This window comes from Homo sapiens, chromosome 18 (genome assembly GCF_000001405.40).
Source record: "Homo sapiens chromosome 18, GRCh38.p14 Primary Assembly".
Taxonomy (NCBI): Eukaryota; Metazoa; Chordata; class Mammalia; order Primates; family Hominidae; genus Homo; species Homo sapiens.
The window spans coordinates 55,899,789-55,922,474 of NC_000018.10; the positions used below are offsets into that span (position 1 = coordinate 55,899,789).

Sequence of the window (22,686 nt, forward strand, 5' to 3'; positions counted from 1 at the left end):
GTTCCCTGTACTAAATCTTAAAACAGGCCCACAGAGCACTGTTTTGCAGACTATCAGGCCCTAAAAGGGAGAGCCAAGATTCACACCCTCGTTCGTTATGTTCAGAGTGCAAACCTAACCACTACTTGTACCATCGAGGTATGATAGTTATAGAAGTTTGAGTGGAAAGAACCATGGCAGGGATTATGTTATATGAAAAATGATATTTCATCTTTTCATTATTATTAATAACCATGGTGATCGTCCTGCTACCTCCTGTCTGAGCTTTCCAGTCTTCAGCGGGCTTTCAAGTACATCATACCTCTTGATCCTCACAACAGCTCTGTTAAGTAGGCAAGAATTTTAAATTATAAAGTTATTTCTGGGTTCCCAATTATCTGTGCAATTAATCCTGGTTACATATGCAGTGCTTTCATTTGTATTGTCGTAAAAATTATAATGAACAGTTTGCCCTTCTTTTTTTTTCCAAAATAGTTTAAAATTCAGGACAGGTTGTTGAAATTCTCTCCAAAAGCGTGGGCTTATTTTAGCATTGCATTTTTCTCAGATTAAGAACCTCGGTTCCACATCAAAATAAAAGCTTGGATGCCACAAAGAATCATTTAGGACAAGGCACTGCATCTTTAGCATTCCTTAATTATGACCAGATAAAGCGATGCACTTGGAAATCTTTGGGGAATAGGCAGGTGATCTGCTACATGTGTTTATTTATCTAGAATGATTTAACAATTTACAACCATATCAACTCTGGTCTGCCTGTCGTGGGGCATTTTCCAGGACTCTTTGATTTGGTCCACATCAGATTTTCCTTTCACATCAACTTATCCTGCAAGCAGTATACTTTTGTTTTCCTTGTTGCTGAGCCAAAACTTGTCCATACCTCTTGAGTAAATTAAAGATAATGCTGTAAAATGCATGCTTAAAATTCCAGTCTGCCACAGACTAACTTCATTGGTATGAAACTCAGACCCCCTCTTATTAAACACTGTTAAATATTCTCTTCATTTTCAAGACAAATATGAACAGAAACACAACTAAATATGTACTGTATTAAAATCATTGATTCACAATATTTAAATTTTCAGCTAGCCTCCAATTAGCAGGCTTTCCAATATTTGAACAGAAGACCATTTTAATGTAATTACAAACACATTTTAGGCATCTAAATTTTTTGCATAATTAGTTCCCTATTAAACTATTTATGTAGCCCTTTTTCCATCAGAAACAGAGAAAGCAGAACAATTTTATTCCTTACTGTTACAATAATTAACTATGCAAGTAGAACAGCATATTAATAGAGTATAATTTGTTTACATTTAAAAGAAAATTGTGTTAGATTAGCATAGCAAAAGACTATTTCCATATCCAGGCAGTAATATGCAGGCCTAATAGCAATTTACAGTGTAGTTAAAGAATATTATTAATAAAGTAATATAGCGTAATTCTGTTTGCCCCACCATATTTCACAATGTCCTTAATTACAGCTAATTCCATCGAGACTAATTTGGGTGTTATTAAGCAGTAGACACAGGAATCTTAAATATAACCTTTGCTAATAATGAATTTAAAAGTTACCATAGAACTTGTTCTTGTAAAATGTAGGTAGAAGATGAGTATTTGTATTTTCTCCCCAGGGTAAAATCTATAAACATACACAGAATGTAATTGAGATCTGAAAACAAACTTTTCTTGATCCAATGTATTGTTCTTCACTCAATGAGAGGTTTATCGGAAATAAATACAGTGCAGGTGAGATGGGAATTAAGTGACAATTTGGAGTGGCAATATAGAATTATCTTAGGTGAAAATTCTGCTTATTAAAAGCTTGATTTTTTTTTTTTTTTTGAGACAGAGTTTTGCTCTTGTTGCCCAGGCTAGAGTGCAAAGGCATGATCTCAGCTCACTGCAACCTCTGCTTCCCGGTTTCAAGCGATTTTCGTGCTTCAACCTCCTGAGTAGCTGGGATTCCAGGCACCTGCCACCATGCTCACCTAACTTTTGTGTTTTTAGTAGAGACAGGGTTTCACCATGTTGGCCAGGCTGGTCTCGAACTCCTGACTTCAGGTGATCTGCCCACCTTGGCCTCCCAAAGTGTTGGGATTATAGGCGTGAGCCACTACACCTGGCCTGATATTTTTCAGTTGAAAAATGGCTAAACTCCATGATGTGTTAATATTTTTCCTTAAGGGAAATTAATAATAATACCTCTTACTAAAGATCACATTTTACTTGGCACTGTCTAGCCAATCGTGTTATTTTTTCAGTTGAAGAAAGTCAAGCTATTAATAAGTGAAAATTTTCACCAAAGAGAATTCTAGGTTACCAGTACAAATTGTCACCTACTTGCCATCATGTACCCCATCTCACCTTCAGTGTGTTAATAATTAACCTCTCCGTGAGTGGATGAAAATACACTGGACTCAGAAAAACTGGGTGCTATACAGGCATTATCATCAGTCCTCAAAGCAACCCTTGTAAGGTAGGAAATATTGTGTCTCTTTTTCTAGATGAGGAAACTGAGTCTCAGAAAGTTTAAGGGATTTCTAGAGGCCAAGAAACTAGGAAAAAGTCAGTGAAGTTTCTAACCAAGACCTACTGTGGCTTCAAAGTTCAGACTTTACAGACACAATGCTGTTTCTTTTTTAGGATGTATACCTTTGATCTATTCCAAAGTGGGCTGAAAAAAAATTCCTTAGGCTTTGTTGCCTTTTTGGGAGCACTACAGTGTGCTCTCTCTGTTTTGAATTAAGCTTCGATGTGGAACTAGATAATGATGACTATTTCTATTTTCTATGACACCTGTGTAAAAATCGGTACAGGCAAACAATATGATAATGTTCCAATTTCTCCTCTAATATGCCTGCCTATATATATATTTTTTGAAAGAAAAACTGGGATGTTAAATGTGAGTGAAATAGCTCTGGCTAGAATTCTGAGTAGTATGAATTCCAGTCTGCCGTTTGTCTTCTGGCTAATTCAAGATTCAGAATTGGTCATTAATAATATTTGAAAAGTAAAGGCCTGACACTGATAATATTTGAAAATTATTGGGTGTTTAATAGACACAGAGCAACAAATACTTAATTTTCAGGTTGCTAGTGAACATGCTTGAGGTTTAGCTCTTTATTTTCAGACTTGGCTTGTGTTCCCTATCACCTGATCCTTTTTTACATTTTGTAAATTAGAATGGTGCTACCCTTTTGTGCATCTCTAAGGGTGATATGAAAACTGGTTTACCTTTCTTTAGTGGACACTACTAATTAAGTGGTAAGGGACCTATAGGTAGGCTAGATGGTGAGGCAAAGCTGCTCTGGGATGAGGCCACTAGCTCTGGGGTCAGAGGCCCAAGACCTTGGCTCTGCCACTTACTAGCTATGTGAACTTGAGCAAGTCACAATCTCCTAGAGCAGTGCTATCCAATGGAGCTTTCTGCTGTAATGGAAATGCTCTATATCTGTGCTATTCAATATGTTAACCATGGCACCTATGTGGCTACTGAGTACTTGAAATATAGCTAGTATAATAGAGAAGCAGAATTCAAACTTTTATTTAATCTTAGTAATTTAAATTTAAATAGCCTCATATGGCTAATGGCTAACTTATTGGAGAGTGTAGTCTTGGAGCACCAATCACCATGCTCATAAATTAGTGATAAAAATGATTTCTTGCAATACTTCAGAGTATAGCTGTGGGCTTAAATAAGATCATATAAGTAATGTGATTTGTGAACTCTAAGGCATTCCTCAAGTATAAGTCATTAACATAATATTAATGATAATAATGATATCAGTAATGGTCACTGCTTGTACATAGGGCACAAAATAGAAAATCTGAAGTTACCAAGCTTGAACTTTAGAACTGGCTTCTACTTTTCTCCTTTCCATAGTTGTGTTGATCTGTGATCCACACTTCCTAGGGGCAGATGGCAGTCATTGCAAGCTTATTTACATGTACTGTGGGGGGACCAAAGTAGATAAAAAGACAGGGAGTCCAGAGAATTAGATTCTAATTGTAACTCTGCCATTGACTAAGTGTGTAATCTTGGCTTCCACTAAAGCTCCAGGAGCAAATTTTCTATAAGCATTGACCAAGAAAGTTCTCCTAATGGTTTGCAGGCTCATAAAATGTTATCAAAAAAGGGATCCCAGAGGTTATCTTAACCAGAGGTTATCTTAACCCAGAGGTTATCTTATCCTTTTCTTTTTCTAGGCAAGAACGGTGAAGGCTACAGATAGTAAATGACTTGCCCAAGATCACTCGACTAGGTGGTGGGAGACTCAGGCCTGTGATGCAGGTCTCTGTCTCCTTGAAACTGTACTCCAGGCTGTCACTGTCTGCTATCAAGGCGGGCGGGTGGGGGGGGCAGGGGTGCGGGGAGAGCCACTGTTTAATGCCATTGAAGATAGATAGTCAATTGGTTATCACAGATCCCCACTGGACTTAATCACACTTCTATAAGAGCTGTGTAAACCCTTCTGTAATTAGCTTAGCACCATGAGGTAGATTCGTTCATGGAGCACACATTCCATTAACTAGCTGTGCAACTCTGCTTCCACATTTGTAAAAGAATGGGGCCGGAAAAGTCAATCTCCAAGGTCCTATCCGGCTCTGAAATGCTGTAGTTCTAAAACCCATGCACTGAATTTTTAAAAATTGTAAATGAAGTTTTGCTTTATTTATGACAGTAGTTCCTACGAATATCTGAAGAGCAAAGATGCATACATGTGTGAGTCATATTATTCTGTCTGCAGATATTATTCGGTGAACATATGGATCTGCAGACTTCTTGTGAAAACTCCATAGTTTTGGAAGGGCCTGGAATCTCCAGGTTCATGTTGCTGGTCTAGAGAGGCATTGTTCTCTGGGGTCTAACATGGAATCAACCAAGGTTTTATTTTTTGGAGTATCTGACATGTTTCTGTCCTTTCCCCCCCGCCCCCCAGCTGATTGTTAGAGCTCCCAATCATGATTCTACATTTTTAATTTAAAAATTTTGAATATATACTACATGCACAATACAATATTTAGAGTTGTATAAAAGGGGACATGATAAAAAGATACTCTTCCCCCAGGTACCACTTTTAACAGTGGGACCGCCAACCATCACATCTACCCTGTACTGAGGGGTCTTCTGGGAAATGGAAGGTTCAGTGCTAAAACTGAGAAAAATTTCAAGTAAACCAGAGCAAATGTGTCACCTTGCCAGGTTTCCTGATGCACCCAATTCCTGACTGATGACCCAGCAACAGTCTTAGCAGTTGCCCCGACATGGAATTTCAATGGGCACGAAGCAGCCAGTGTTCAACATTTTTCTCAATGACATCTGAAATAAATAAAACTCACCACTCCAAAGGAAAACATCTCAAAGCCTTTGAATATTTCATATTCTATAGGTTTTGGAGGAAAGGGGATAGGTGTTAAAAACCAGACCAACTTATTCAAAAGAAATAGAATCAATACGGCAACTACAATTGTCCAACTAGTGATCTCTAAAGAGTTGGGAAGATTTTATGCATGAGAATACATTATTACTTGATGAAACCAGCCTCCTAAAGAAAAATCATGTGACTCATTTAAAACTCATTTGTTGAAAGGCTTGAAAATGGACTAAAATTGACTTCTGCTTTTAGTAACACTGAATAATGGAATTAAATAAGGATCTCGAGTTGACAGGGCAAAAAACCAATATAACCTAATCACTCCTTTCCATTTTAAATTTCCATAATTTTATGTTTGGGAATAATGGTAATGCTTTCCATTTCTGAGGGGTGAGCAGCTCATTCTAGAATGTGAATGATGTACATTCCTTAATATTTTTCTCCAAAATTAAGTTTCTATTTACCTTTATAAAATTTCATATATAATGTTTTTCAAAATATTCCTCTCTTTTATTGAAAAGAACACAAAATTTTGTTTTTCCCTTAAACCATCTTATTTGAATCACCATATATTCATGGAGTAGCTATGATGTTTAAGGGACTATTCAGAGTGCTGTAGGAAATACTAAAAATGATTAAGAGATTCCCTGCCCTCAAGGAGCTTAAATTCAGGTGCAGTAAGTACCCAAACAGCCATAGGAGCAGGCAACATAAAATAATTGTCATAAAGAAAGTTTAATAAGGAAGGGCTAGTACATCTAATTGATGAGTAGGAACAACTTTAAAAATGGAAATAACAATGGAAAAGGATCTTGATAATGAGTAGAATGTCGATGATTCAAAGCATTAAACTTTAGGTTCAGGGGACTGTGTGATAAGTATTGTTGGACTGCAGTGTCTGGTGTATAGAGAGGGTCAAAAATAAGTTGGAGCTATTTGAGCAGACCAAGGACAATAGGAAGAGTTAGCGATTAAATTCCTTAGTCAATGGGGAGTAAATGCAGATTTCAGAGCAGAGGCATGATATGCTCAGACCTGCATTTCACGGTTTTTCCCGGGCACTGGTTTATAGCATGAACAGGATGAAAAGAGCGTAGTAGAGATGGAGACCAGGAGAGAAGATGAGAAGTGTCAAGAACCGCTGGGCATGACGGATCATAACTGTAATCTCAGCACTTTGGGAGGCCGAGGCGGGTGGATCACTTGAGGTCAGGAATTCGAGACCAGCCTGGCCAACATGGTAAAACCCCTTCTCTACTAAAAATACAAACATTAGCCGAACATGGTGGTGGGTTCCTGTAATCCTAGTTACTCAGGAAGCTGAGGCAGGAGAATCACTTGAACCTGGGAGGCAGAGGTTGCAGTGAGCTGAGATCACACCATTTCACTCCAGCCTGGGTGACAAGAGTGAGACTCTGTCTCAAAAACAAAACAAAACAAACAAACAAACAAACAGAAGTGATGAGAGCCTCAACAAAGGTAATAGGAACAAAAAGGAGGAAACACACTTAAGAGGAATGTGGTTAAAAATCTTCATAACTTGGAGCGCCTGAGTAACAGGAAGTCAAAGGTGACTCAGGTTGAACCTTGACAAGGGGGATTTAAATTGGTGCTAAAAAAGCAGAAATGGGGGAGAAAGATGAAACGTTGGATCTTCTTGGTAATTATTTCCATTTGTATTACTTGATGTTGATATTTTCCTTCACATTTTTTCTAGCTAATGTTATGCCATCTCTAATTTTTAAAAGATTTCCTTTTCTTTTAAATAGATTTTCAGCCCCTTGAAGCTAATTTTTATTGTGGACTTTCTTACTGCTTAGTACTGCATGGACACTTGGTAGTACAAGCTACACAGAGTCTAGATTTACATTGTCCTAGATTGTACTAATTGTGAGCTCTTTCAGTCTTTCTTTTACTCCAAGCAAAATATCAAATAGCTTTTCAAAATGTCGATAGGGTAGTTAGGGGAAGAACAGCAATCACAGATTTTAATATAAAAATTGGCATTATACTCCCAACTTTGTTTAATCAGAAAGAACTGTTATCTAATGGTGCTTTGCACTGGCTTCACGTCACCCTCATTGCCTTAGATATCTCCTGAGCTGTTGATGCTACTAGATCCAACTCTCTAGAACAAGTCAAAATGCGGAGGCTTTCCAAGAGGCTTGGGAATGTAAATGCTTTTATTTTCTCCCTCTCTTAGATTGGTAAATATTCCATCAGCTTGATAGCAAAAGTGTTGTCCCAAATAAAGACAGAGGCTATTCCCTAACTGCAGCTATTATAGCTGAAATCTTCTCAGTCACAATGGTGGCTGACTTAGTCAAATTAGGTGTTTGTCATTCTTTGCCTGGCTAGCAGGAAATTAAGTTTCAGTGAAGCATTTGGGTCACACCCTTAGTATCTAAGAATGATCTCCTCATAAGTTTACAGTATTCAGTTGCTCTGGGGCATTACCTTTTGATTACTTTTTTCATAGAGTGAACATGTTTAAGTCAGCTTTAATATTTTACACAGCTGTTCCAGTTTCAAGATCAGCATCGTTTTGAGTCACGTGGCAACCCTGGCAAAGTCTCCCGTAATGTCAGAGGAGAATCTGGAAAAAATTGTCTGAATGTTTTCTCAAAAGTAATCAGTTTTATTTCTTCAAGTGGGCATTGTTTTCACTGTAAAATAGTATCCAGCCCTGACAGGCGTTAAGTGGTGGTGGCTGCCTAATCTTAAATGGAAGCAACAAAATGAATCTGCCTCCAAAAGAATGCCTTTCTACCAACGTGTTTTTCTCATTCACTTTTTTCTTTCCTTTCACTGATGACTTTCCAGCTGTTCATCGGGTCAGGCATAGTTCTTGCCTGTTTTTCTTTGTAGGCTGTTGACTCTCTGAGACTCACATTTTGGTGGCATACTCTTTTTTTTTTCCTTTGGTATGTTCTCTGACATTTCAACATGCTAAGAAAAGCATTCTACAATTTCCACCTGGGGCAAACTTGGAACATTTCATTCTAAAGTTCTGCTATTTCTAGTTAGTCAAATGATTTTAGAAGAATTTGAATAAGAGTAAAAATCACAGATTGATTGCAGAACCAGCACATCACTTGATTGCTTCTCTCCATTTATATTTTCCAGCTCACACCTGAATTCCATATGGTTTTCACGGCCATTTAATAAAATTTGAAAAATTGCTTTCTCTCTCCTCCCCTCTCCCCCAAAGAGAAAACTACCCAAAGAGAAAAATCAGTAGCCCTATGTACCATTCATCCATTCATTTCATCTTTTGTTGATTTTATAGGAAAGAAGCTATATGAGTGCTTAGCTTTAACTTTATAATTAAAATTCAGAATATGGTACAATTATCTCTGTGTTGTGTTAATGCACATGTCTGTGGTTTTTCAGGTAATCGATCATTTAAATTTGACAACCGTGATCAATTCCAAAAATATTTGTACTCTCCATTTCCCTACTTATTTCCCATATTCCTCTGTCCCTGAAAAACAGTCTGTTGTTATAAAGGAGAACCCATATGAGCATTTGGAACCCTCCTACCCTGAGGGTGATTGGGAAGTCTGTACTTTCATTTTTATTTTACTTTTTTGTACTTTGCACTTTACAGTGTGATTCAAAGTTGCCGAGTCAAATGTAATCTTTGTGCTTACAAGTAAATTCAACAGCTTGCTACTGTTTGTCACAATTTTCATTTGGGCCCTTAGAATCTTGCTTTCTTTTTGTAAAAGCCACATTTTGCATTCATAAACCATTGCATGTTGCTCATTTAACCCTGTTCCCACGCTCCACTCCAAATGCATTACTGAGTGACCCCGCATGTCAGCACTATAGCATTGTACAGTAAATAGAGTGTTTTGCTTCATAAATCAAGCATAGAACTTATAGCCAACTTCAGCATAAAAAAGTCACTGAAATAATATGGCCCAGCTGCAGGAGAGAGACATTGTATTCATAAAGCTAGCCTTAAATTACTGACATTTAAATCCAGATTTGACAAAGCTAAGACTATTTTGGAGGATTCTGAGTAATCCTCATGAAATTCCAAATTTTTCTTTTGTTGTTTTGAAGGATATTCGTTTTTGAAAGGAGAGGTTAGATTCCGTCCTCCCCACAATTATCTTTGATGGTATCAGCAAGGCACACTTGGGTGGCCAGTTCACATAATTATCCAAGTCACTTTGCAAATTGTTTATTTTTTCTTTGGGAACCTGCTCTCTGGGGCATAGCTCTCTGATACTATTGTGTCAATCAGCAGTGAAATGCAAAGGTGATTTGGAAAAATCAGGTTTGGGTTTCTCCCCCATCTAAATCAAATTGAACACTAACATCTCATTGAGGATGTCCAAAGATAGAAACTAATTTTATTTCAAGAAGCAATTTTTATTTCTCTGTTGGAAAAAAAAAGAAAGTCGAAAAGCCCGGCAATCAGCCAGACTTCCAGCTTTCACTGTTCTCTGTTCATTTTCCTTTATAGGTAGCAGTTTTAGCATTCAAAATTTAAAAATACACCAGAAGAACACGTATTTACTGTGCTCTCTCTGAAAGCATGCTTTGAAAATCACCTATAACGGTAACACCCTGTCATTGGAGAATTGTCAACATACTGGCTAGTTTAGGCCATAATCTCTCTATCCAATGCAATTTGCTGAAGTAAATTAAAATTATTCTCTTCCCATTAAATTTCACTCTCCCTACCTCACCAAAAAATCTGTTTTTTAAAGCACAAAACTAAATGCTTATAACAAATGTAATTAAAATAATGTAAGAATTAATGAGATACATGAAAAAGTAATGTCTGTATCTTATTTTTCATGCAAGCAGATTGATATGCATTACCCACTTTGTTAAAAACATTTATCTAGTAACTATAACATGAGTTCGACTTGATTTTTTTTTAATTTAATGTCCTTACTAACAGGTAATTTCTTTGTTCACCCAGGATAGATGAATGCAACTGAATTATGTTCTTGAATAAATTGCCTTCTGGATTTCAACTACTTCTTTTGGAAAGTAGCAATATCTTCAAATTAACCTCAGTTAACACGAATGGACTAAAAAAATTGTTCAAGAATTTATGTAGTTCAAAAATTGTCAGATTTGTGGAAATGAATAATGTGTTTGGATTTTTGGAAGACCTTTACAAATTTTGAACCTCCTGCAGTTCCATTTGGTGTAAAGAATTATACTGTAAACAAGGGGCTCCATCTGTACTTTTGAAATAACTATTCAGTTTTCCATTTCAGTGCTCAGACAAATTGACACGACAAACTGAAAAGCAGAAGTTAGTGTTCAAAGAAGTTCAAGAGTAAACATTTAGTCAACTCGTCTGCTCAGATTGAGAGAGATTCAGTGCACAGGAATCCACAATTCTGAATGTAGGTTCTAGAATGGCAGTGAAGACTGTCAGGGAGTGGACTTTCCAGTTGCCCCAGGTCACATCTAAAATATGAATCTACCTGCAGGGCCCTCACATTTCTAGGTATTTCATATACATTTGGCTACACTTAGGAATGAGAAGAAATATTTGTATTAAAACTTTATTTACTAACTTTAGGTTTTTTTCTGCCCCTTTCACTGCTGACTTCAGGCTACTATTTGGTCTCCATATTTGGCTAAGGGGATAAGAAATCACATTTCTAGGAAGGAGACCAAGGTGGTAACAGCTGTCAGGAACTTTTTTCATAGAACCCAGCAAGGGAAGTTACAGAATGCTGTTTGAGTCATTATTTCAATTCAGCTCAATAGGAAATTACAGATCACCAATGCATAAGGTTTTATGCTAGGTGCTCTGTGATCTGCTTATAGCAGGAGCTTTCATATTTAAACCAAAATTTAGGTAAATATAAATGGAGAGGGAGGAGAGCAATAAGTCCAGACTCCCACAGAACATTTGGTGCATGTCATTCTCCTGATCTCAACATTTTTTCCCCCAGTGCTTTCTATTCAGGCCTGTTGCTCCAGGATTTGGGGTCCAGTCCCAGTTTCTCTTATGATGCCCAAGAGTCATGCATGCCCCAGTCAGACATGCATTCTCATTGAGTCTGCATGAAGCCTTGCACATCCTATGTGAGACCACTCTCATGCCTCTTGCTTTTCAGTAATGCACTTTCTTCTCATTTCCCATTCTTTACATGCTCTCTCCTTTTGGGCCTAATATAAAGCTTCCATTCTTGGTGCAATCATGCCTGCAGTACTGCATGGTGTGGCTGTACTCTCTTTCCATATCTTACAGCACCTATGGTCTCTACCATTAATTTGGAATACACCACGCTTACCCTGGCATTGTGATCTATCTTGTAATATGTCTATTTTTCTCTCCAATGAGATCATGTGTTGTCTGAGAAATCAAAATGTCTTTTTGTTCCCTTTGGCCTGAGTACATAGTAGGCTCTCAAGGACATTTGGCTGATTTAACGATGAAGCATTGTGTGGGAGTCTGTGAAATTGGATAAGTTAACATGGTACATTCCCATGGCAGTTAATCTGTGCAGATTTGTGTTGGATTAAATTCATCAAACTTAGATAAGACTCTTTCTGCTACTGACTGGTGCAGTATTATTTCCTCCAGATGAAAAGACAACTAAATTTAAACCTCTCTAAAGTGTGGAATGCAATTGAAAGCAACTTAAATTCTGAAAATGTTTTATTTATTACAGGAATACTATTAAATTTCTGAGGTTGTCCCTCTCAGTGGAACATTTAATAATTTCTTTAACAGTTTGATGATCTCCACTCAATGTCCTAAAAGAGATATCAAGGAAACTCCGGATGAGGATAAGGGATGGGAAATAGCATTGAACCCATGTTTTTTGGCATTTCATTCTCCCTGACAACCCTGCAAGGTGGATGGAATTATCTTCATTGTATGCATGAAAAATCAAAAATTCAGTTGTCAAATTAATTGTCCAAGGTACACAGAGACAATTCAAGCCTCTCTGTTTTTTATGTCTGTTGTCCTATGCTATCACTATTGCAATAAGAAAGCCTGCACTGTTCTGATAACTGGGTCAATGTCTCGTCAAAACTCCTCATTTCGTTCCAACAGGAACATTGCCAGCACTTTCCCCCATGTGTGGTGCTGTGGCATTTCTACAGATTTGGGAAGTGGGAGTGATTCTGCTGCAAGGCAAATGTGGTTTGGCTCATCATAAGCCCTTTATGTAGAAGGCTTCAGAGTTTTCCTCAGTTATGTTTTTCCCCTTGACTAAAGCTTGCAGCTCTATGCTGTAATCTGATAGGTTCCTTGGTTCTATGTGAGGGGCCATTAAGTCTGAGGGCATGGAACATCAAGACAAGTATCCTAGAGAGGGTCAGGATGATCACTAATGAAGAGCTTGCATGTGAAGCTTCAGCAGGCAAAGTTGGACCAGAGAGACATTTGGTCTGTATTTTGCACTGGACTCATCAGTGCTCATCCATCACACCTCTTATGGGTAGCAGTGCTCTTATAGTTTGGCTGTGGTCATCTTATGGTTTTTGCTTGTTTTGATCATGTTTTGCTCTCATAGGTCTCCCTAGAGTGGACTTGATTCTCCACTTCCCTTTCCTTTCTCCTTTCTCTGATCCATACAAAGCTACCTTTGTTTGTGTTCTAAGTGGCTCTTTATTTTTTCATTTACCAGCTCTGTTGATGCCCTGTCAACTCTGCTAGACTTGCTGTGGTAATCTCACAAGATGGCTGCCACAATTCTTCCTCTCCTTCTGTGCATGTGACACTTCTCTCCTTACAAATAAGGCCTAGATCCCTTCCCCTGAAATCTGGCCTGGCCTTGTGACTTGCTTTAGTCAACAGAATGTGAAAGAAGTGATACTGGACTAGTTCAGATCCCAGCTGTCAAGAGGTCTGGAGGCTTCCACTTTCTTTCTTGGAAGCCAGCTGTATGTAAAAACTCGAACTACCTCGAGACCACTGTGTTGTAAAAAAGGCCTGGCTAGCCACTAGGAGAGACCTTGTGGGAAGAGAAAGAGAAATAGAAACTCAGCCAGCCCCCTTTGTTTCAGCCATCACAGCTGAGGCACCAGACAGCTGAGTGAAGGAGCCATCTTGGATCTCCCAGCAACGATCACGGAGAGCAAAGCAACCACTCAGCTAGGCCTAGAATAGATTACAAAATTGGAGAAATAATTTTTTCGTTGTTTTAAGCCACTGAGTTTTGGAGTGTTTTGTTATGCAGCAGTAAATAATTGAAACAGTTGTTTAAAGCATGCATCCATAATCCACTGTGATATTCTAGAGCTGTGTGCTACAATATGGTATTAGCCAAATGTGGTTGCTTAAATTTAAATTAATTAAAATTAAACAAATGTAAAAATGCAGTGTCTCAGTATCTCTAGCCACATATAAGGTGCTCAGTAGCCCTTGTTTTGGAAAGCATATATGAAACCTTTCCATCATGAAAGAAACTTCTGTTGGATCATAGTCATTTTACATTTTCTGGAACTATATGTTACTTATTTATCAAGAAATATCAATCCTAGGAAATTAGTTCAGTGGAGCGCAAGGCTTTTGTAAGGAGTAGAGACAGCTCCTCTGGCACAGGTGCACAGGTGCCAGGCTAGGTGTCAAATATCAGGCCAAGATGGTCTACCCTTAGCCTGTAGGCAGTGGGAGCCACTGAAGGTTTTTAAAAGAGGGAAATGACCTCAGCTTCTAAATATGTTCTTTGGGAAGGTGAATCTCATGCAACATAAATTTACCTGGGTTCTACACCAAAAGGACCTCTGTTAATCCTGTTAGTCATTTGTTTATCCAAACATCACTTATTGTCAACTGTTGTCTATTTCTTCAATTATAATTTTAACTCACCCTCCTGGGGGTAGGGTAGGAATGGAATCAAGCCTATTTTCTGTCAATGGAGTAATTTGGCAACTCATTATATTTTGACTTAATAGAATTGGCATAAAACACAACAAAAACCATAGTGCTGTTTAAGATATTACAGTTTTCCGCAACATCACTGATAAAGGTACATTATTTACATCTTCTCTAACTATGCCAATAAAAAGTTTTTTGCTATGGGTTCTCTCATTATTGTTTTTAACATGAAGTAAAATAAATGTTCCTTATCTGTGTTGAAACTAAATCACAAACAACCTGGTCTAATATCAACCAAAGAACATAAAATAATTATATTGAATATATATATTATTATAACTGAAAGAAAAGCTATATTTGATTAGTTCAGTTTTGTAGTAATTCTCTTTTTGTAGAATGTTACATAAATCCGCTTATCTCAATTAAAACCAAATAGATCTCTAATAGCATAAACAGTAGGCCTCCTTCAACATATCTCTTTACTATTTTAAAAATAATAGTGCAACAGGGAGCTAGAAAGCTTTTGGCTTCTTCACTTTGAAGCTGCAGATGTAGATCTTGGTATTGGTTCATTCACTGGTGAGTGAGATGACCATGGACAGGTTCCATCACCTATTAGATATGTCTATAGGAGGACCCCAAGGTCCCTTCAGCACTGCATTCATCGATTCTACACTTTCTTATAAGCTCTTCTAGCTTGAGCTACTGAAAAAAAAAAGATTGTTTTGACTCAAGATGTTACCAAAGTACAAAAAGCACGACAACTCTGCTCTTCCTCCCACTGGGACCTGATTCTTTGCTCCTCAAATTAAAAAAAAAGAAAATTCAGGACTGAGTATGAAGACCTACTTGTTGCTAAAGTTTACCCCACCATGGTTAGTTTTGGAATGGTTAAAAGGAAAGAAAAAATAGAACATTTCTGTCTCAAAAAATATTTTTCTGTCTCTGACTCCCTGCCGTGCTCTCATTTTAATGTGTTGGAGGCTAGGTCATTTTCGTTTTTTCCCCCAGATCTTCATGATTGCAGCTACCATATTTATGTAGAGTATCCGCATAGAATTCTCTCCCACACAACTAAGAAGAATTTTTTTTCTCAAAGCCATTTGTTGAAGTAACCATATGGATACTTCTCCCTCCTGTTATTCTGGTCTTGGGACTTTTTCTTATTTGCATTCATCCTTGCTGCCTTCATTCCGTCCATCCACCCATTCATTAGTCCATAAGACACACATGAATTATAGACCTATTCTCATGACACTTCTGTAGGGCTATAAGAAATAAAAGATCACCCAGAAGTATCCTCTCCTGAATAGGGCAGTAAGGTAGCTGGGAAGCTTTCCAAGTCTTAACTTTGGAGGTGTAGATGGAGATCCCGGTGTTGGCTTGTCCAGCATAAGTTTTGTGTCTTTGGACAGGTTACATCTCCTGTAAGATATGTGAAGGCTGTTGGCAGAAGAGTGGAGATTATCTTGCCCTAGAAGGAGAGGAGCCCAAGAACAGCCCACAAGAGGCTCTCCCTCAGCTCAATGCACTGATTTTGTGTGAATGTGGGAGTGACAAGGGGCAAATTAGTTCCCTGCCTGAACCCTCTTTACCCATTGTACCTTGTCCTTATTTCCATAGGCACCAGAATTCTTTTTGTATTTCTGCCACCTTCCCTTTATCTTGCTTCATCTGTGGCTACTAGAAAAACAGGCATCCTTCATTGCTGTCAGACGTATATCATCTATATGTATATCTATCAGCTATATGCATAATGCATCATGTAAAAAATAACTATGTTGAAAGTAGGACGCAATAGATCTACAGAACTGAGTAAATCTCATACATTAGAATATTTTCTTTGCAGTGACTTATAAATCACAATGATCTCAAACATTCAGTGGAAATATCAACAAGTCTGATAGAGCTATTTGAACATGGAAGTCAAATTAAATATTCTACTTGCTAATTGGTAATATTTGCTGGTCACTTGCTACATGCCAGGTATAATGCTAACAGTATGATAGGCATTATCTTATTTAATCCTCTTGACAAGCCTAAGAGGTAGGTGTCTTTATCATCCACATGTTTCAAACAGAGAAATTGCTATTCAGTAACATAACCAAGTTCTTATAGCTAAAAGGAGGCTAAGCCAAGAGTGAAACCCAGTCAGGGTGGGTCCAGAGTTTCTCTCTTAGCCATCTTGTTTCTTTGATCCATTAAAAGCAAGCATGCAAGCAAACAAACAAAAAGGTTCTCGGTCATCTCCTGCTCTCCACCCCTAAGAGGCAACATTAAGACTCAGGTTTATTGAGAACCTTGCATATGCCCAAAAGATCCATCATGATTGTCAGCACAGAATGCTTTGATTCTGACTAGATGCTCATAGAACAAGTCCTTGGAGGGCCATATGAGACCTTGATTCTGGTGTAAGCTCAACCACTGACCAGCTTCGTGACCATCTCTGACCAAATGAGCCAAATGACTGCTTTTGTTTCCTCTCTTTATCTGTTCATAGGACTTTTTTCCTTCACATTTTTCAGCTCACTGTTTTGAAAAGCTGTGACTTGATATATGCAGCCTCCTCTTTCTCATAGATTCTCTCTGTCTAGCCAGACTCTAAGCTCCTGCAGGCAGGAACCGTCTCTTGTGAGATCTGCACCAGCACCTAGTGTTGGAGAGCTGGAGTGAACTAAACTGTTTCGAGATAGTTAATATCTTTTATTTTCTCCATCAATACCTGTCATGAGCATACCTCCCTCTCAGATGAAGAAAGAATTTTGGTGATAAACAATAATTAGTAGATCCCCATCAAGAGTTAGCAGAGGAAATCCAAAAAGTAAACAAACAAAACAGCAAAAGTAATTAAGAGTTGTCAGGCAAGTATCAGGAAGAGGTTGCAGGCCCAGCTGGATGGACACAGCTGGTCAGAGGGTGGAAGGAGCTCACAGCTTGGGGAGATGGAGTGTATGAGTGGGGAAGGAGAAGTGTGACCCTAGAAATGGACACATGAGGACAGACCTTCATGCTTTCATTTGAAAACATTTATTTATCACACCTTATATGTCACTAATATGGTTTGGCTATATCCCCGCCCCGCCACCAAAATCTCATCTTGAATTCCCATGTGTGTGGGAGGGACCTGGTGGGAGGTAACTGAATCATGGGGGCAGGTCTTTCCCTTGCTGTTCTCGTGATAGTGAATAAGTCTCGCAACATCTGACGGTTTTAAAAACAGGAGTTCTGCTGCACAAGTTCTGTCTCTCTGCCTGCTGCCATCCATGTAAGATGTGACTTGCTCCTCCTTGCCTTCCACCATGATTGTGAGGCCTCCTCAGCCATGTGGAACTGTAAGTCTATTAAACCTGTTTCTTTTGTAAATTGCTCAGTCCCATGGTAATTCTTTTGTAAATTGCCCAGTCTTTATCAGCAGCATGAAAACGGATTAATACAGTCATGTACTGAGCTACAAGGATAAATAAGACACAACCTGGTTTTCTGAGGGCTTACAACTGGTAGGGAAGAGAGAGATCTAAGTAAATAAAATCTATCAATCAGTAAGATCAATAAAATAAAGAGGGTACAGATTAACCTGGAGACACAAATGAGTGATCTGCTTCATGGTAGAGGTCAGGCCTGAAAAACCTTATGCAAGGAGAGGCCTGAGGTTTTCACCTGGATAAGAACAGGAGGGCATTCCAGTACCACATGAACCTAGGAAGCTGGCTGGCACAGATACTTGGCTGCAGGGACTTGCAGAGTTGGTTTCGGCTAGAGTACCATATGCCGTTGGTAGAGATCACAAAGATTGGGATGGGGGTATTTATGGGTTCCATATGTCAGTCCATAGGTCAAGAAGAGCAGACAGAAAAGAAGGAATTTGGCAAAATTATACAGATACTTTCTCATTGTGTCAAAACTTGTTGCTTCTTTTTTCCCTTAATTTCAGTAACAACAAACATTTATGGGGCATTTCCTGTATGTTGCACACTGTGCTTAGCTCTGCACGTGCAGTAAGGGTTGTTTTGCAACCTACTCTATAGTTGGAAGCTGGGGAGGATTCAAGGAAGGTGACACTACCTTGTAAACCAAAGGACCTGAAAATCTGTATGCAAAGACAAGAGCACATGCAAGAAATAACTAGACAATGCCATAAGAAACTATAGGGTTAACTGCTGCTGTATCCTGAAAGTAGCAAGGTGAGTAGGGGTACTTTGCCTCTGCAAAGGGACATCTTTGCAACTTAACATAGTTTTCATCTCTAAACACTGGGCTGCTTTAGGGGGCCTGAAGCAACATGGAGATTTGCTTGATGAACATACTGCAGACACAGGAGCTAAATGGTATTTATTAGGTTTGCTCGTCCCTCCTATATAAGCAAGTAATCACATGCTGATGCCAGAGGGTTCAAGGATGAATGAAGTCTAGAAACTGACAGGACATAAATAGTTAACAGTAAAACCTTGGGCCCTCTCTGAACCTTTCAAGGCAGCCAGTAAATTGAAAGCAGCAGCGAGAAAACAGAGCCACTTCTGCACACCCATGGAAACAGTCAAGCTGCCACAATTTGCACAAGGTGCAAGTAACAGATCAGCCTTCCAGAGGACCCGGTACACGCTGCACATTGCGGCGGTCTCACCTCGGTCACAGAGCCTCTGCCTCACAGCTGGGCTGAAGGAATTAGCTTGCATACCAGAATATTAATGTCAGCATCTTTTATCACATGGGTTGGAGATTTGCAACCATTTGAAAAAACCACCAACTCTGCTTGTGATTATCTGTGATTTAGAGAAAGGGGCAAAGTTATCATTTAAAAAAAAGTCTGTCATCAAATCTGTTGATGGCAGCCTCTGTATAAGAAAATGTCACTAAAAGCACTTGGAATGCTTTCTTACTTATAAGCTATCATAACAATGTAAAATTAAAACCAAAAAATAAAAACCACCCAAAATTCTAGAAGGTGCTTTAAAAAGAGAATGAAAGGGATGCTTCACCACTTCTACCCCCCGCCCCCCACAAATCCAACTGGCTATGAATTGGATATCAGTGTAGGCAGAGACACATCATAAAATATTTTTGGATTGTGTGGTGCTATTTGGTATATATTGCCTATCTTGTTAGGATTGGGTAACAGTCCAAACAGGAAGACTCAGGGAAAGGTGGGGAGTAATGGTATAGGATTAAACTGGGGGTAAGTTAGGACTCAGGACTCACTTCCCGCCTTGCTTCCTGCCATGGTCAGGACTCAGGGCAGCAGAAACCAACAAAGTCCAACAGAGAGAAGCCAACTTAGAAACTGGACAAGGTATTCTTCAGGCATGAAATATCTCCTACTTTTGGGACACAGATAATTAAGAACCCAGCCTCAGGTCTTTCAAGTTCTTACTTTTCTGTCACCAAATCCCAAAGTCAAAGCAATTTCTCCCTATACTTCACAGATGCTGTCCAAGGTTGCATCAAAGTCAACAAGAAATGTGTTCTCTGTCTTCTGACAGTGACCATTGTGAGATAGCAGGATGTTCTCATCATACACTCAGTGATGGTAAAAGTCTGTGCTGATAAAACCTATTACAACACAACTATCGTGGAATTTTTTTTTTTTTTTTTTGAGACGGAGTCTTGCTCTGTTGCCAGGCTGGAGTGTAGTGGTGCAATCTCGGCTCACTGCAGCCTCTGTCTCCCGGGTTGAAATGATTCTCCCGCCTCAGCCTCCTGAGTAGCTGGGACTACAGGCACGTGCCACCACACCCCACTAATTTTTGTATTTTTCATAGAGACCGGGTTTCATTATGTTGGCCAGGATGATCTCAATCTCTTGACCTTGTGATCCGCCTGCCTTGGCCTCCCAAAGTGCTGGGATTACAGGCATGAGCCACCACGCCCAGCCTGAAATTTTCTTTAAAAAAAAAGACTTGAAAATAAAATTCCACTACAACTTGTCTCACATGAATAATTTTTGTCTTAAGATCTTAACCTAGATAAATCATTTCCTTAAATACTTCTTAAAGTGAGATGTTTAGTGCCTATCATGGTATATGTCTTAATTGAATCCCTCTCCAACTGCCTTTGTCCTCTTTAGGGATCTCTGCTCTCTCTTATTTGTTACTCATGTTTTTTTAATGTACTAATAACTGAAGCTATGTTCTGCCTTACCTCACCTGACACTGGAGAATGCCTGCATCAGCACATACTCACCTTTTTCCCATCTACAAAAGACAGCAGCTCTGTACACTGCAATTCCCTGTGATGTGCTCAAATTATAGGCTGTGTCACTAAGAGGCAAGTCAACCCTAGTCTCATAATGACACACCATTGTGTGTTGGCATTGTGGTTTAGAACTCTTCCCTGCCTGATCTTCCACCATGTCAGTCAATATTCATTAGCCAAATGTAAACTGAGTGTCTATTGTACACTCGATGGCAGGCAACAGATGATATTCATCTCCATGCTGGTAACACGGTAACATGGAGTCAAATAATATCTAGTGCCCACCATCAGAGAGTGTTAGGTAAAGACAGACACAGAAACAGTTGATCTTAGTGTCATGGTAGTGACATGCACAAATGTTATACAGTGTATGCTGTAATGCCTGGTTGAAAAGCTTCGCTGTAGAGATTAATGGGACTCTGCTGATCTGGCTGTTGAAATGTTCCTGGATCCTTTTGCTCTTCCTCATCCTTCCCTTTCACCTTGTATAGCTCAGTCCCAAAATTTACTGAGTCAAATGGTTTTCTGTCTTTAAACTCCAAATTCCACCCATCACTCTGGACAGTTGACTCATCTTATACTTTGCTAAACAATTCCAAGACTCCCTACCAAGATCCCATGCCTTTCCTTCTCTCTACACCCAATAATCTCTTGGACTTCAGCTATCTTCATATCCTTCAGGCCTCCACGGTAGGACATCTGCTCTTTCCAAGGCTAATTCCTACTGATTTCATTGAGTTCTGCCTCCTTCTCTAAAAGCTCACTGTTCAACTAACTCCCATCTCTCCAGTGTTGTCAATCAGTCTCTCTCTGTCACTTTTTTTTTAAACATGTATGTCTCCCTTAACCTAAAAATATCCTCTCATGTGCGGAGGGTTTTTTAAAACAATGATTTAGATTTTTTCTTCCCATCTTACTATGGCAGGTGCATATTATGCCTCTTAAAGGCTCCCAATGTTGTGCCCATACATGCATATTTTTTAAAGAAAAGATGAATAAATGAATTCCATAAGCTACCTGTAGTTACATAATAATGGTCTAGTGGTGATATAGTAAATAGTGTATAAATTTGGGGCTCAGTATTGTATTCTACATATCATATAAATGACCTTAGAAAAGTTACTTGAATTTTCTCTGCCACAATTTCCTCATCTGTGCAATAGGGATAATGACATTTATCTCACAGATATGTCCATGAAGATCAACTGAGATGACAGATCTAAATTACTTGACATAGTCTTTTTGTCACAGAGTGAATTCCCATAAATGCTAGTTCATGCTACTTGGATTTCAGGAAATAATAGTTCACATAGACTAAATAAAGGCCAAAGTTATAGTAGTTATAAAGCAGTTACAGAGACTACTCTGGCTAAAGTATCATATTTGTTTAAGATATTAGAGCAATACTGGTCAACACATAAGTGACCAATTTACATACAGATATATCATTTTAGCATATATTCAATGAAGTAACATTTTATAATACATTCTTTTGTCTGGGGATTCTTTTGTAGAAAGAGGCAGAGTGAATGATTGAAGCACATTGTTGTTTAATTGAAAATACTACTTTCACCTTATGCAAAACAGAGGCACATTAAATCACTACCTTCAAAAAATGTAAATTCCAGGTCAGTAGAGTCATTTGGGGACAATTGATGCTTTATAGGTCTGGATAAAGAGGAGATGTCTACTCCTATTTCCAGGAAAAATAACATTTCTAAAAGACTGCCATAAGCTCTCATCTGCAAAATTTCATCGATTTGGGACTTTGTCCTTAGGGTAAAAGTAGACTCTTGTTCTCTCTGTTAAGGTGATAACCAAAAAACAGTAGGCCCATATGAAAAGGAGGCATATTTAACATCTTAACAAAGTACATGGTTTTTAAGCAAGGGGCATTGTATATATTTTCATAAAACAACATATTTGCAATGGTAGCATAGGCAGGCATTCTTCAGGCCGAATCTCTATTTCCTTCTCTTACAGCCTTGATTCCCTCCAGGCAGCACATGGTTAAATACATTCCAGTTACTACAGGATTTTGAAACTTAAGAACAGGAAAGCAAAACGAGTAAGAAAGCAAATAAAGAAATACTCTATAAGTCAACCTTTCTTCTTCTATCTCTATACATCATTTCTCCCATACAACCATCTAAATTATTTTAGATTCAGTCAAGGTTAGACAACAAAGTTTAATGAGTCCTCTTGTGAATTGAAAAGTGCCTACCACTTAAATGTATTGAATCTCAGGGCTTCTGTCATTCCCTGATCTGGTCCATAATTGGCCAAAAAGAAATTATTGAC

The 22,686-nt window shown here is 38.6% G+C and overlaps 1 long non-coding RNA gene across 1 annotated transcript in view; it reads right to left on the minus strand.

Moving 5' to 3' along the window:
• The window catches only part of LINC01416 (long intergenic non-protein coding RNA 1416), a 38,512-nt gene extending 18,101 nt beyond the window's left edge, over nt 1–20,411 (minus strand). The window contains exon 1 of the long non-coding RNA NR_110755.1: nt 20,374–20,411. This is a non-coding gene — a long non-coding RNA (long intergenic non-protein coding RNA 1416). The remainder of the gene's footprint in view (nt 1–20,373) is intronic.
• Nucleotides 20,412–22,686: the final 2,275 nt, after the last annotated feature.